The sequence below is a fragment of the Homo sapiens genome, chromosome 14 (genome assembly GCF_000001405.40).
Source record: "Homo sapiens chromosome 14, GRCh38.p14 Primary Assembly".
Classification (NCBI taxonomy): Eukaryota; Metazoa; Chordata; class Mammalia; order Primates; family Hominidae; genus Homo; species Homo sapiens.
Genome location: NC_000014.9, coordinates 72,588,428 through 72,602,116, shown reverse-complemented (window position 1 = coordinate 72,602,116; position 13,689 = coordinate 72,588,428). Strand labels below are relative to the sequence as shown.

At 46.6% G+C, this 13,689-nt stretch overlaps 1 protein-coding gene across 1 annotated transcript in view, besides 2 other annotated features; it reads right to left on the bottom strand.

Moving 5' to 3' along the window:
- Positions 1 to 13,689, bottom strand: part of RGS6 (regulator of G protein signaling 6) — a 762,695-nt gene that overhangs the window by 27,913 nt on the left and 721,093 nt on the right. The window lies entirely within an intron of this gene.
- Positions 1,643 to 2,158: an enhancer, noted in NCBI's record as "H3K4me1 hESC enhancer chr14:73066667-73067182 (GRCh37/hg19 assembly coordinates)". NCBI's record gives its function as "activates a minimal SCP1, AML or CMV promoter by ChIP-STARR-seq in naive H9 embryonic stem cells {active_cell/tissue: H9 hESC(naive)}" and the evidence as "EXISTENCE:reporter gene assay evidence [ECO:0000049][PMID:30033119]".
- Positions 13,222 to 13,271: an enhancer, noted in NCBI's record as "active region_8687". NCBI's record gives its function as "activates an Ori minimal core promoter by ATAC-STARR-seq in GM12878 lymphoblastoid cells {active_cell/tissue: GM12878}" and the evidence as "EXISTENCE:reporter gene assay evidence [ECO:0000049][PMID:35858748]".

The following is a 13,689-nucleotide window of genomic DNA, read 5'->3' as shown; positions in this document are numbered from 1 at the left end:
AGCCATCTTCTATCTTGCCTTTGTGGGAAGATTCAACGAGGCAATGCGGGTAAAGCCCTTGGCCCCGTATCTGGTACACAACAGGCTCCCAGTAATAGCAGTATCATCTCGGATTATGAAGTTTACCTGTGGAAATTGAGGAGAATGTGGCAAAGGCCACAAGCGCCCCCAGACACTGTGCTATGAGAGTTCAGAAGGGAGGGTGCTTCCAACTGGAGAGAAAGCTAGGAAGGTTTCAGAGAGGAGGTGGCATTTGAGCTAATTTGAACCTTAGGTTGTTGGCGGGGAGGAAGAAAGAGATTATGTCAGGCACCTATGTGGAGACAAGAAAATGTGGCTAGTAGTCTAGGCTGGCCAGTATGGAGGAGAGTTTTATTTTATTTTTAATTGACACACAATAATTGTACATATTTACGGGATACAGTGTGATGTTTTGATACCTGTATGTGTTGTGTAATGACTGACATGGATAATTAGCAAATGCATCACCTCAAACATTTATCATTTCTTTGTGCTAAGAACATTCAAAATCTTCTCCTCTAGCTCTTTTGAAATACACAATACGTTATTGTTAACTATAGTCACCCTCCTGTGCAATAGAACAGCAGAACTTATTTCCTCAGGAAAGTTTTAGAAGAAGAGGCAGGAGTGCCTGGGGCTGAGGTCCGACCTGGAGCACCTTGAGTGGGAGAGGCAGCAGTTTCTGCTGGAAGTGACAGGGGCACCACGAAGGGTCCTGAGCAGGGGAGGGTTGGGAGCTGTGCTGAGTGGGTTAGATTCGGGGGTGGGGGTGGTGAAGGAGGTCCCTGGCTTTCAGAGCAGGCTCTGTCGCTTAGATCCTGCTGCTGGCTATGATGGTGGGAGGCTGGCCAGGCTGGGCCAAGGTTAATGCTAAGGGTGTGTGAGTGAGTGCTCTGTAGACCATACCTCCTGGGACTGGCTGAGCCCCCTTTCGGGTTAGGATGAAGGGCTAGAGGCTGCAGCCCCTTTGGTCTGTACCTCGTCTACTGAGGGACCTATTCCCTTTCCTCCCCTTCTTCCTCCTCCTCCCCCTCCTCCTCCTCTTCCCCCTTCTCCTCCTCTTCCTCCTCCCCCTCCTCCTCCTCCTCTCCCCCCTCCTCCTCCTCTTCCTCTCCCTGCTCCTCCTCCTCCTCCTTTCCTTCCCCCACTTCATCTTTGCCTCTTTCCCGCAGCTGCAGCAGCCAGGGGAGGGCTACAGTCAAGTGGGAGGTGCAGGGAGCTGTGCGGGGAGTAGGGACCCTATGCTGGTGGTGGGGATGCGGCAGGGGAGAGGCTGGGAAGCTGGGATGGCCAGTGCTGGTGGCCGCTTGGCCTGGCTGGCCCTCCTGTGACTCCCTTGGTGTCTCCGGCCCAGGGAATGAGGAAGTGCAGCTGGTATGGTGTGGAGGAGCCCGGCAGGGGTCCAGACTGAGAACATGAACATGGACAAGATCCCTGGGTAGCCTTTCTCTAGACCATGGCTGGGCTTCAGGGCTCCTTGAATTTGTCTGTAAAATTGTGTGTGTGTGTGTGTGTGTGTGTGTGTCTGCCTGGCTTCCTTCAGATTCTCAAAGAGATCTATGACACCCCCAAAGCTTAAATGCCTCTTATCGTGCAACCCTTCATTTTCCAGAAGAGGAAACTGAGGCCTAGAGAGGGGGCGTGACTTCCTGTGTCCCAGGCTAGTTCACTGCCATCCTGGGCAAATGGAAGGAGAAGGATGTTCGTCAGGGAAGTAGGGGTGCTGGGAGCTGGCCTAGCGCTGGGGACAGAGAGGAGGGAGGGAGGGAGGGAGGAGGGCAAGAAAGGAAAGCCCAGAATCGCCTGGGGAGCAGCCATCTGTGTGTTTTGTAGAGGCCAGTGCCTGGCCAGGATACCTGATCCCCTTCCCCAGGTATTGTTCGTGTACTTTCCCAGGGTCCATGGGGCTGGGCTGGGCAGAGGGGGAGAGAGTGAAGGCAGTAACAAGTTGACTCTCTCTGTGTGTGTATGTGTGGCAGGGGAAAGAAAGGAGGAGAAGAAGGGAGGGGGGAAGGACAGGGAAGGAGAAGCACACAATGACACAATGACAACCACAGGCAGAGAGGGAGGCCCAGGGCCCACCGGAGGGGCAGGCCCTCCCTCCCTGCCGTCAGAGGGGAGCTCTCCTGGCTCTGGAAGTCCCCCTGAGGCCTTGGGGCCAGGACAGGTGTGGATGGAAGCTGAGGCTTCTGCCAGAATTTTCCCGAGAGCCGTTCCAGGAACATGAACCCGAGGCCTGTGTGAGCCCACAGGACTCGGAGGCTGGTCTCAGGGCTTACCACTAAAATCTTATCAGTTCCTCCTCAGCCCCACTATCTCCCTGCTCCCTGCTCTCATCAGGGGCTGTGACTGGTTTTGAAATTGCAGACTCTGGCCAGGCGCGGTGGCTCATGCTTGTAATCCCAGCACTTTGGGAGGCTGAGATGGGCGGATCATGAGGTCAGGAGATCGAGACCATTCTGGCTAACATGGTAAAACCCCGTCTCTACTAAAAATACAAAAAAAAAAAAAAAAAAAAAATTAGCCAGGCGTGGTGGCAGGCTCCTGTAGTCCCAGCTACTCGGGAGGTTGAGGCAGGAGAATGGTGTGAACTCGGGAGGCGGAGCTTGCAGTGAGCCAAGATTGCCCCAGTGCACTCCAGCCTGGGCAACAAAGCAAGACTCTGTCTCAAAAAAAAAAAAAAAAAAAAAAAAAAAAAAAAAGGAAAGAAAAGAAAAAGAAAAAAAGAAATTGCAGACTCTGGCAGCAGGAAGGAACCTTAGGAGTCAGTAAGCTCAGTGGTTTTCACAATGTGCTGTGATGAGCCTCAGGGGCACCATGCGATGAACGGGATGGGGCAAGGGGCTGATGACACCCACCCAGTGCTGTTCCCACCAGAGCAGCACCACTTTTACTGAGTAGTGTTCCATCTAAAATTTTGTTGGGGAAAGAGTTTCTTGGCTAAAAGTATGAATTCTAGCCCTCCTTTCCCCTCCCCTGAATTTTATGGGAGAGGAGAACTGAGGTGGAGGCTTGCTTAGGGTAATAGAGAATCCCGTGGCTGCGCCGGGTCTCCCAATGCCCAGACCAAGCTTGTTTAGGGTAATAGAGAATCCCGTGGCTGCACTGGGTCTCCCAATGCCCAGACCAAACTTGTTTAGGGTAATAGAGAATCCTGTGGCTGCGCCGGGTCTCCCAGTGCCCAGACCGATTGCCTGGTCTCTTCCTTCTCCCCAGAATGGGCTCAGTCTAAGGGAAGAGGAGACCGAAGTCCTAGAAGGGGAGAAGGAATGGGCCAGGAATAGGGAGACATAGAAAGCCCCCTAGAAGGGTGGTGGCTCTCCTGCTGGCATAGCACAGAGAAGACCTCCCAAAGAGAACCCTGGACCACAGATCTGGCTGCCTGCTCCTGCCAGAGCTTTGGGGAGGTGTAAGCTCTTTGCTCCTCCAGCCCTTGGGTGTTGGGATGACTCCTGTGCCCTTGTCAGCTTGGTGGGAAGCTGTGGCAAGCCTGTCTCTCTGTCTTCCGAGGCTGCGCAGACAGATGAAAGTGGTCCCCAGCCGCCGAGTGGGGCGCTTTGAGCAGAGGTGGCTTCTGGACAGCTGTGGAAGGCCTTGTTTGCATATATGCAAATGGATGCCTGGCTTCTCTCTCCCTGCATCATTCAGGCAGATCCAGGTGCTGCTGGAAGAGCTCCAGATCTTGCATCAAAATTAGCCTCTTGAATGGGCTTTTTGGTCTCTCAATGAGAAAATTCCTTTGAAATCTTTCCAAGACCCTGGGACCCTTCCTAGTCCCCAATTCCACTCCCCCTTTCAGTCATGTCAACCTCTCAAACTCTTGGAAATAGAGCTGAAGAATCAGATTTAGAGACAGCCAGGGGTGGAGGGCAGAGCTCAACTCCGGCAGCCAGGAGGTTCTAGGTGCTGGCCCTGGCCTGTCATGGTTCAGTGTTATCTGGAAGAGCCCCCTAACTTCTCCCCACAATGCCCCTGAGGGGCAAAAGAAGAGAGGGGTTGCCGGTCCCTTCCAGCTCCGTTGGTCTGCAAATGTTTGTGAACACCTGTGCACTGGGGATTTTTGTTGTAAATAACAGACACCCACTCAAGGCCACGAAATTGAAAGTGGGCCATTTTAGGAGGGCACAGGGTGTCTCAACACCCTTGAGTGGGAATGGGGTGGGTTCAGGAGGGGAGGAAAGGAGGGTGTGGAGAGCTGCCGGCTCCCTCCATCTCTCTTCTCAGCTCCTTTCTGGGCAACCGCCTCCATCCTCTCTCTCTGGGGGCTGATTTTTCTCTGCTCCTCGGTGCACATAGTGAAAAATGAATGTCCCACGGCACCCAAGTCCAGGAAAAATAACACACAAAGACTGAGTCCAATGTCCGTCAGGGCCCAGCACAAAGAAATGATGAATGTTTGAGATGATGGATTACCCTGATCTAATCACTGTACATCGTAGGTATCAAAGCTTCTCACTATATAACCCATAAATATGGACAATTATTATGTGTCAATTTAAAAACGTCTGTCAGGAGCCTGATTCCAAATTACATGGACAAAACATCTATTAATTCAGCTTGAATGAAAAGATTTATGTCTGGTCCAACCAGTCATGGCCGAGAGGTCAGGGACACGTAGGAGAAACGTGGCTGCCTGAGGCCCACAGCCCTGGCTCCTGGGGGTTTCCAGGTGCTGGGCAAATGCCCAAGGAGTCCACTACACCCTACTAGGCTGAATTACAGTGAGAGCTACTGAGCCTTTACAACGAGCCAGATGCCATGCTAAACATATTTCTTATAATATTCAAAAACAAATGCATTCGATGCTATTATTATCACATTTAATCCTCACAACTATCTCTCTCTTTCTTTTTTTTTGAGATGGAGTCTCAGTTTGTCACTCAGGCTGGAGTGCAGTGGCACGATCTTGGCTCACTGCAACCTCCACCTCCTGGGTTCAAGTGATTCTCCTGCCTCAGCCTCCTGAGTACCTGGGATTACAGGTGCACGCCACCACATCCAGCTAATTTTTGTATTTTTAGTAGAGAAGGGGTTTCACCATGTTGGCCAGGCTGGTCTCGAACTCCTGACCTCCAGTTATCTACCTACTTTGGCATCCCAAAGTGTTGGGATTACAGGCGTGAGCCACCGTGCCTGGCCTCTGTCTCTTGAGATGGGTTTCATTATTCTACCCGTTTTACAGATAAGGAACCTGAGGACTGGTGAGGTTAAGTAACTTGTCTCAGTTCATACAGCTAATACCAGGCAGAGCTGGGAATCTCACCTGAGCCTCTCTGAGCATCCTGTTTATCCTCTGTAAAATAATAACTTCTGTTTAACAGGACTCTCATGAAGCTGAAGATGTAAGATACGATGAGTGCTTATCAGAGTGTTTGGCATGTAGTAACCACTTAGTTATGATGAAGTGGCTCTTTGACCTGTGCCTGAAACCCTCTAAGAATTAGGGATTAAGTATCTTCAAAGGCAGTCAATTCTTCCTCTGGGCAGCTCTATTAACAAGTTCTTCATTTCCTGAACTTTTTTTGCTCGACTGAAATTGGGCTTTCAGTACCTCCTGTCTGCTGGCCCTAACTCTACCAATTAGGGGCTGTAGTCATGGCCCCTCAAAAATGTTCATGTCCTAATCCTCAGAACGTGTGATGTTTCATGATGAGGGGGAAATTAAGGTTGCAGGTGGAACTAAGGTTGCTAAATCAGCTGACTTTAAGATAGGAAGATTAACCTGGATTATACAGGTGGGTCCAACATAATCACAAGGGCTCCTAAATGATGGAAGAAGGAGGCAGAAGAGTCAGTATCAGGGTAATGGGATGTGAGAAAGATCTGACTTTGGAGATGGAAGGGAGTGACAAGCCAAGAAATGTGGGCAGCTTCTAGAAAATGGAAAAGGCAAGAAAGTGGATTTTCCCTAGAGCCTGAAAGGAATGCAGCCCTCCTGATACCTTGACTTTAGGGGCTTCGGAACCTCAGAACCGAAAGATAATAAATTTGTGTTGTTTTAAGCCACTACATTTGTTGCTGCAGCAATAGAAAAATGACTACAGGGTTATTCTAAGCAAATCAGAACACTGGTATTCTGTTCCCCTGAGTGTCTTCTTAGGCTATACAACCCTGGTTCCTTCAAGTGCTCCTCACATGAATGTTTTAAAGAGCTCAAGCCCTATCAGAATCAGGAGTTTGGCAATGAGTGGGGGCACCTGTGGCTTTCCGTGGAGGTACGTGATTTAAGCAGCGCGAATGGGCGGAGTCTAGACCATAGGGGTTTGCAACCGTATGATGGTGGTGTGGAAAAGGGTAAATGTAAGTATAATTTATCACTTCTCAGGCTCTCTCAACACCATGCTAAATACCAGAGTAACCTTTAAAGAAGGCAGAGGCCATCAATTAAATAAACAGATCCTTGGTGAAGAGTAGAAGTGTAAACACAGGCACCATCTCATGATTTACTGATGGTGAATCAGCCTTATTCACTTGGTGGGCTGTTCTCTGTTCACCCTAAAGAAAAGGGAGGAAATCCATCACAACACCATGAGGACCTTCATAAAACCTGCTAAGCACCAACATAGATTACAGAAAAAGGTTTGGCATTGTATTCCTGGGGCTAAGCTTTTTGTTTGTTTGTTTGTTTAAACTAAGAGGTTGCAGGAATTTGCTGGGAATGATTTAGTCAGTGCCTTTGGAGAGGCAGGGTGTGGATGAGATGATCTTTGGACAGTTCATCTTACCTTTGAGTTCCAGGATACAAAGATTCACGTTCATGATTAAACCACACATACGGGTTGCTTAATATAGATAGAAAAATACACTGAACCGGTGTATTTAGTTCCAGTGACCTGAGGATGCATATGACACATTCAGCAAAATCGGGCTAGGGATTAATATTGCTAAGGTCAGGGTGGTCATTTTGGGCACACAGCGGGTAATCTTTCATAAGGGTTTACCACTCTTCCGTATCTTAGTTCATCTATAATGAACTGGCAGAGAGAGATGGTTATTAGAAAATAAAATGCACTTAGAGTCCCCCATGAATCATTTATGGGAGACACCATGCTTAGCAAAGACTATGAAAATATGGCTGTTAAGGGCAACTCAGGCACTATTTCTGGATGACTTTCAAGCATGACCACTAGCTACAGGACTGGGCCTGGACACATTAGAAGAATTTAGGCCTTCAGGATGAAAAGGAAAATGTGTGGGCAGAGACTGAGTCCAAGGCAGTGGCCTTCACAAGTCACCCTGTGATGGTGTCCATACTGCGAGGCATCCCTCACCCGAGAAAGCAACTTTTTCTGCACGGGATGACTCTGGTTACATTTGCTTGTTCCCGCCATGAATAAAAGGAAGAGAGGTCAGCTGAAGAGGCAATTAATTCAACACAACTGAGGTTTGGCAATTAACTTTTAAATATGCAAGCAGTTGAGGAGAGCGAGGAAGTGGTTTTCTCTTCGCACAGCCAGTGAAAGATGGTGCGATGTTATCAAGGCTTTCGGGTAACCAGCAAAAAGTTTTTCAGTTACCACTCTGCCCACAGTCAGAGTATGAGTGGTGATAGCCTAATGATAGGGGTGCAGGAGCCCAAAGAAGGAGAGAATTGGTGCTCTCTAGGTTAAATATAAATAGAACTTGTTAAGATCTTTCTAGAAGGCTGGGGGAAGCAATCAGCTAGCTAAAGATTTGTGCAGGAGTTTGCCCCAGGGAACACTTTAACCTAGGCTTTTTATTTCCTTTGCAGTCTACGACTAAAGGAAAATGGACGAGCTTCCCCACAGGTGAGTTCGAGTTCTATGAGGCCGCCTGCTGGGAACTGGGAGAGGTCCTGTGGTGGAGGAGGCAGTGGAAGGCGAGCGTGGGGCAGGAGGGCTCTGCTTTGAATCTTTGCTCCACTATGTTTGAGTTGTTGGACCCTGGAGAAGCCCTTTACCTGCTCTGGGCTCCTCTGTAAAGTAAGGGTCAAAAATACTTACCTCATAAAAGACTTGCCTATTATGAAGATTAAAAGACGTTTCATAAGCCCACACTATCTTTTGGGGCTTGCGGGGAGATAGAAATGACTGTCCTGGGAGTTAAGAGATCTTGGTTCTGGTCCCACTGCCACCACCAACCCATTGTGAGGCTTTAGGAAAATCGCCCCCACCCCCCCACCCCTCTGATGACCCTCAGTTTCCCCTCACAGGATGAGGGGGTGCACCAAATGAACTACACTTTGCTGTTGAAAAGTATCACCTGGGCGGTTCAGCTTCCTGAACATGTCAGCTTCTGGACATTCTAAGAAGAGGTGGGGTGGCCCAATAATTTTTTGTTTTTTTAAAGAAATCACTGGAGATGTTTGGGAAACACTAGATTGGATTTCTGTCTTCTAGATATAGCAGATCATAAGAGTTATACAGTGGATATAAAAACACAGACTTCTGTTGGGCACGGTGGCTCACGGCTGTAATCCCAGCGCTTTGGGAGGCTGAGGCGGACAGATCACTTGAGGACAGGAGTTCAAGACCAGCCTGGCCAATATGGTGAAACTCCATCTCTGCTAAAAATACAGAAAAATTAGCTGGGCATCGTGGCATGTGCCTGTAACCTCAGCTACTCAGGAGGCTGAGGCAGGAGAATTGCTTGAACCTGGAGGCAGAGGTTGCAGTGAGCCGAGATCGCACTGCTGTACTCCAGCCTGGGCAACAGAGCAAGACTCCATCTCAAAAAAACAAAACAAAAAACAAAAAAACATAGACGACCAGAATCTTTAGCAATGAGGCATAGAAAGCTGCATTTCTTGCTATCGTATGATCAGGTTTGTTTGGCAAACATCAGTCTAAATAATCTTAGAGTCAAAGTTATGAATAGTTCTGCTCAGAGCGGATGTTCAGCTAAGATGCACAGATCTGAAGCCTTACTTGAATGGCAGCATGGAAAGATGGCCTCTGGGCAACTGATATTCTTTCTTGGGCATGGTTGTGGGTCCTTAGGAGTCCTTCCTTCTGTCCTCTCCTGCAGCTTCCTTGTCAAGGATGGCCACTCCTCCAGCATGCCCACAACTCCTAGGAATTGGAAATCATCTCAGCTTTTCTTTGCTGAGGATTGCTCACCCCTCGAAGTGGCCCCTCTTGGACAGGGCCCACTGTGACCACATCTGCCCTCCCTGTACCATTGGCTTACAACTGGTCCAAGGGACACTCTCAGGCATCCCTGCCCAGCCACATTCTGAGAGTTTGTAGGTCAGCCACATTCTGAGAGTCTGCAGTCCTAAGGCTGCAGAAACATCTTTCTTCCACAGTGGGAGCAGCCAGGCAACTTATCTCTCCCTGCCAGTCCACTGTGTCCATCCATCATAGCAGACATGTACCAGGCTTTCTGAGTGTCTCCTTGAAGTCCCTTTCACAAGATTTGAGATGAGGGACAGGTACCTCTCTCTCTCCCTCTTGGAAAGGGTGAGGCCCACAGCACATCAATAATTTTTTTCCAAATAAATTTTCTTCACAAATCTTCTCCCTTAATCTTGAAAAGCCAGACCATTTTATACCCTCAATGTAGGTGTGGGTGAGAAGCTTGAGTTCTGTAATAAGTTTTTAGCTCTTTCCTTGAAAATATGCATCATCTGGCACATTGGAATGTCATGTCTATTGTGTCATGGTTTCTCAGGCAAACCTTCAGCTTAACACCTTGTTACACTTCCTTTGGTCTTAATGGAATTGCAGGTGGAGATAGGAACAGCCATGGAATGTTCTAATGCTTGAAATACAGACCATAGCATGCACCCATGTGCATGCCATGTATTTCTTGTTGAGAGTTTCTTGGGAACCAGTGAATTTGGCTGGACCATCAGAAAATTTTGTGACTTCTCCCTCTGCCTGTTGTCCAAATGGTGGAGAGATGGACCCTTGTGGCCAGAGAACACACTGGTGATTTCTCAGACTTCCCTTAGCATTTTCAGAGGATCTCAGGGTGCTCTTTCCCTTTCTCCTCCTTATTGGCTTCTTTGTTCCCATGGAATCACTGATGAAGCCCAGCCCTCCTGGAGTTAAGTGTGGTCAAATGGTAAAAAATCCCAGGTGTTTGTTGCTATTCATCTTTGTCTTGGACATTTTGGATGACTCTCCCCTCCTGGGACTAGAGACAAACTGAACTGACTTTCCAGGGCCTCTGTTGGTTTTAGCATGACGGAAGGGGTAGTGGCTATTGAGGAGACGGGAGAAGAGGGAGTAGAGAGAAGGGGCTGCCATCTTGATTCCACCAAGGATGTCCACGGTGAGGCTAGCCAGGACAGGATACCCAACCCTTCAGGCTAGATGTATCCATTTGTTTTCTCTGGGCATGTTTTCCATCTGTTTTTATGTGTGGGTGTTTATTCTCTTCTGCGAACTGGTCTGCCACACAACAAGGTGAGAGTACCTGCATCCTCTGCTGCCAACACCCACACAGTCTCTTGTGCAGGTCACTGGACACAGTAGGCACCAGGTAAATGCTGTGATTGAGTGACTGAAGCTGAACGGGCTCAATTAGAAGCAGTCACCAGTAAACCTCATTTACATTCAGTTCCCTTAATGCCACAAGTGTTCCTGGAGGGCTTTCTAGGTGCCTGGTACCACGCGGAGACATTACATTATTATTTTGGTCTGAAGCCAATAGAGAGATCAAATTTAGTTCTCCAGCCAAACCTGGTTTAATCATAGTTATTATGGAAAAAAAATTAGAAAAAAGGAAAGATAAGATGAAAAAAATCAGCCATAATTCCACCTCTGGGATAATTATTGTTAATATTTTCTTAAATGTCTCTAGTTTCATGTATGTTGTTTCACATAATTGAATTTACTTTTATATTCAATTTTGTTTCCTTCACTTCATTTCAGATATCATTTAAAATGTATTTCTTAACATAATTTTGCTTCTTTATATAACGGGTTTTCGTGTTTATAAAAATAATGCATGCCCATTGCAGGAAATTTGGAAAAAAGGATGAGTATAAAGAAGGGGCAAAATAGCATTATAAAACTTTCTCCCAGACAATGACTGTATTTCCTTCAAGTCTTTTTTTTGTATGAATTTATTTGTATATGTTTTACAATACTGGTACCCATACACCATGCACAGCTGTTTTAAATGTATTTTTTAATGTTTGGTAAAATAATATGTGCACATAGTAAATAAAAATGGTATAGCTAATAAAAATAACAGAGGGGTTAGGATGAAAAGCAATCCTGTTGCCTCCTCTCTCCCTTCCCCAGTCCTGATCCTCAGAGACAGCGGCTTCTAGCCCTTCTGGTCTTTTCTTCTGGTGGTTATGTCTTTCTGTATTTTCCACCTGACGTGGGTTTACCGCCATTTCCTGCTTATCAGTGTTGGACCTTATCCGCTAGACTTCCTGCTCTCATTATAGGCTCCTCTCCCCGCCTCGCAAATGGTTATAATTCCTTTACTGGTTACTTTTTGCTGCAAGCAACAAGCGTTTATCTTTTTAATCTTGTTCCATCAACTCTACAGTTATTTTGGCCCCTGCAACCCCTTCTTCACCTAGCCCCAGGTGACTACTATTTTTGTCTGTTCCAGAATTTCCTATAAAGGGAACTTACGGGTACGTCTTTATGTCTGGCTTTTTTTCCCTCAGTGTAACGTTTTTGAGATTCTTCTAGGTTGTTGTATTGCTCTGTTATTGCCGAGTAACATCCCACTATATGAACGAGCCACAATTTGTTTATTCATTCACCTGTCGGTGAACATTTGGGTTGTTGCAAATTTGAGGCTATTATGAATAAAGCTGTGATGCCTATTCATATTCAAGCATTTTTTGTGAACATATATTTTTATTTCTTGGTTAAATACCTAGGATGGGATTCTGGGTTATGTGGTAAGAGGCTGTTTCACGTTATGAGAACTTACCAAACTCTTCTCCAAAGTCATTGGACTACTTTAAACTCCCACCAGCAATTAATGAGAGTTCTAGTTGCTCCACATCTTTGCAACGCTTGGTATTGTTGGCCTTTTTAATTTTAGACATTCTAGTGGGTGTGTAGTGGGATCCCATTGGTTTAATTTGCATTTCTCTGATGACTACTAATGTTGAGCATCTTTTCATGTGTTACTGGCCATTTGCCTATCTTCTTTTTAGAAGTGCCTGTTCAAATCTTTTGCCACTTTTTAATTAGGTTATCCTCTTATTTAGTTGTAAGATTGTTTTATATTTTGGAGCTGAGTCTTCAGTCAGAGAGTCCCTTTGTGTGTTTTTGAACCCTGTGTTTCCCCCATCCAATACTGCATGGTAAGCAATTCTCTGTGTAGTGACTTTGTTTGGAAACATGATATTTAGAGTTTGTTAACATTATAGCATATAGATGTATCATTATTTAATAGTTTTATCTTTTTTGGACATTAATGTTTCCATTTTTGTGATTGCTCTAATAATGCATATCCTTTCACAAAAATCTGGTTTGTTCCTTAGGATAGATTCCCAGAAGCAGAGTAACAAGGTCAAAGGGCAGAACATTTTAAAGGCTTTTGATATATATATATAGTGACATATTGCTTCCCAAGAAATTTACATCAATTTTTTTTTCTTTTGAGACAGCGTCTCATTCTGTCATCCAGGTTGGAGTGCAGTGGTGCTATCTCAGCTCACTGCAACCTCTGCCTCCTGGGTTCAAGTGATTCTCCTGCCTCAGCCTCCTGAGTAGCTGGGATTACAGGTGTGTGCCACCATGCTTAGCTAATATTTGTATTTTTTGTAGAGACGGGGTTTCACCATGTTGGCCAGGCTGGTCTCGAACTCCTGGGCTCAAGTGATATACCTGCCTTGGCCTCCCAAAGTGTTGGGATTACAGGCATGAGCCATGGTGCCCAGCTGAAGTTTGCAGCAATTTTAAGCGCCCCCAGCAGCAGGTGAGAACCTCACTTTCCACTCCAACTGCTAGCTCTGGATATCTTTATTTTATTTTTTTTAAACACTGATTTAATGGGTGGAAATGGCAGTTGGTTTTAAACTGTATTTCTTAAATTATTAGTGTAGTTAGACATCCTTCCAAGTGTTCAGCAGTCATTTATTTTCCCTCTTCTATGAATGGTTTATTCATGTCTTTTGTTCTCAAATGGATTTCTGAGGCAAGCTTCCCAACTCTTCGAAGGAGCTGCAGCAGGTAGAAGTGTTTGGTGTTGGAACAGAGTTGGGGGGGCATGCTGGCAGCCAATCAGAGAGAGGGGTTGCTGGCTTGACGGGGCACCTGGGACACCCAGGGGCCCTGCACACGACCATCCATCTCTCCTGCACACTCCTTTCTTCACCCAGGCCAACGAGTTTGTGGAAGTTCCCATTTCTTTCTGTAAATCACAAGGGGGTAACAAAGAGGGAGTACCCCGAAAGAAAGAACAGAAACTTGCCTTCTGAAAGTTCAACTGTAACTTTGTTACCTAAGGGAGCATAACAGTGACATGCGTGGTCACCAGACAGGGTCAAAATGGCTCCAGGCCAGCAAGTTTTGATAGCAACCTCAACAAAAGAATTGCCAGACCTAAATAATGCTCATTACTCAGAAGGGGGAAGGGGTGAGGCTCTCAGGCATTAATACAAGTATATAAATGCCCCAGGTCCATGGGCAAAAAAAGGTCACAAGAATTATAATCCTCAACTTTCACTAGAATTTGCCTCAAACTGATGATGCAGAACATCTAATTCCTGCAAAGGGCCCC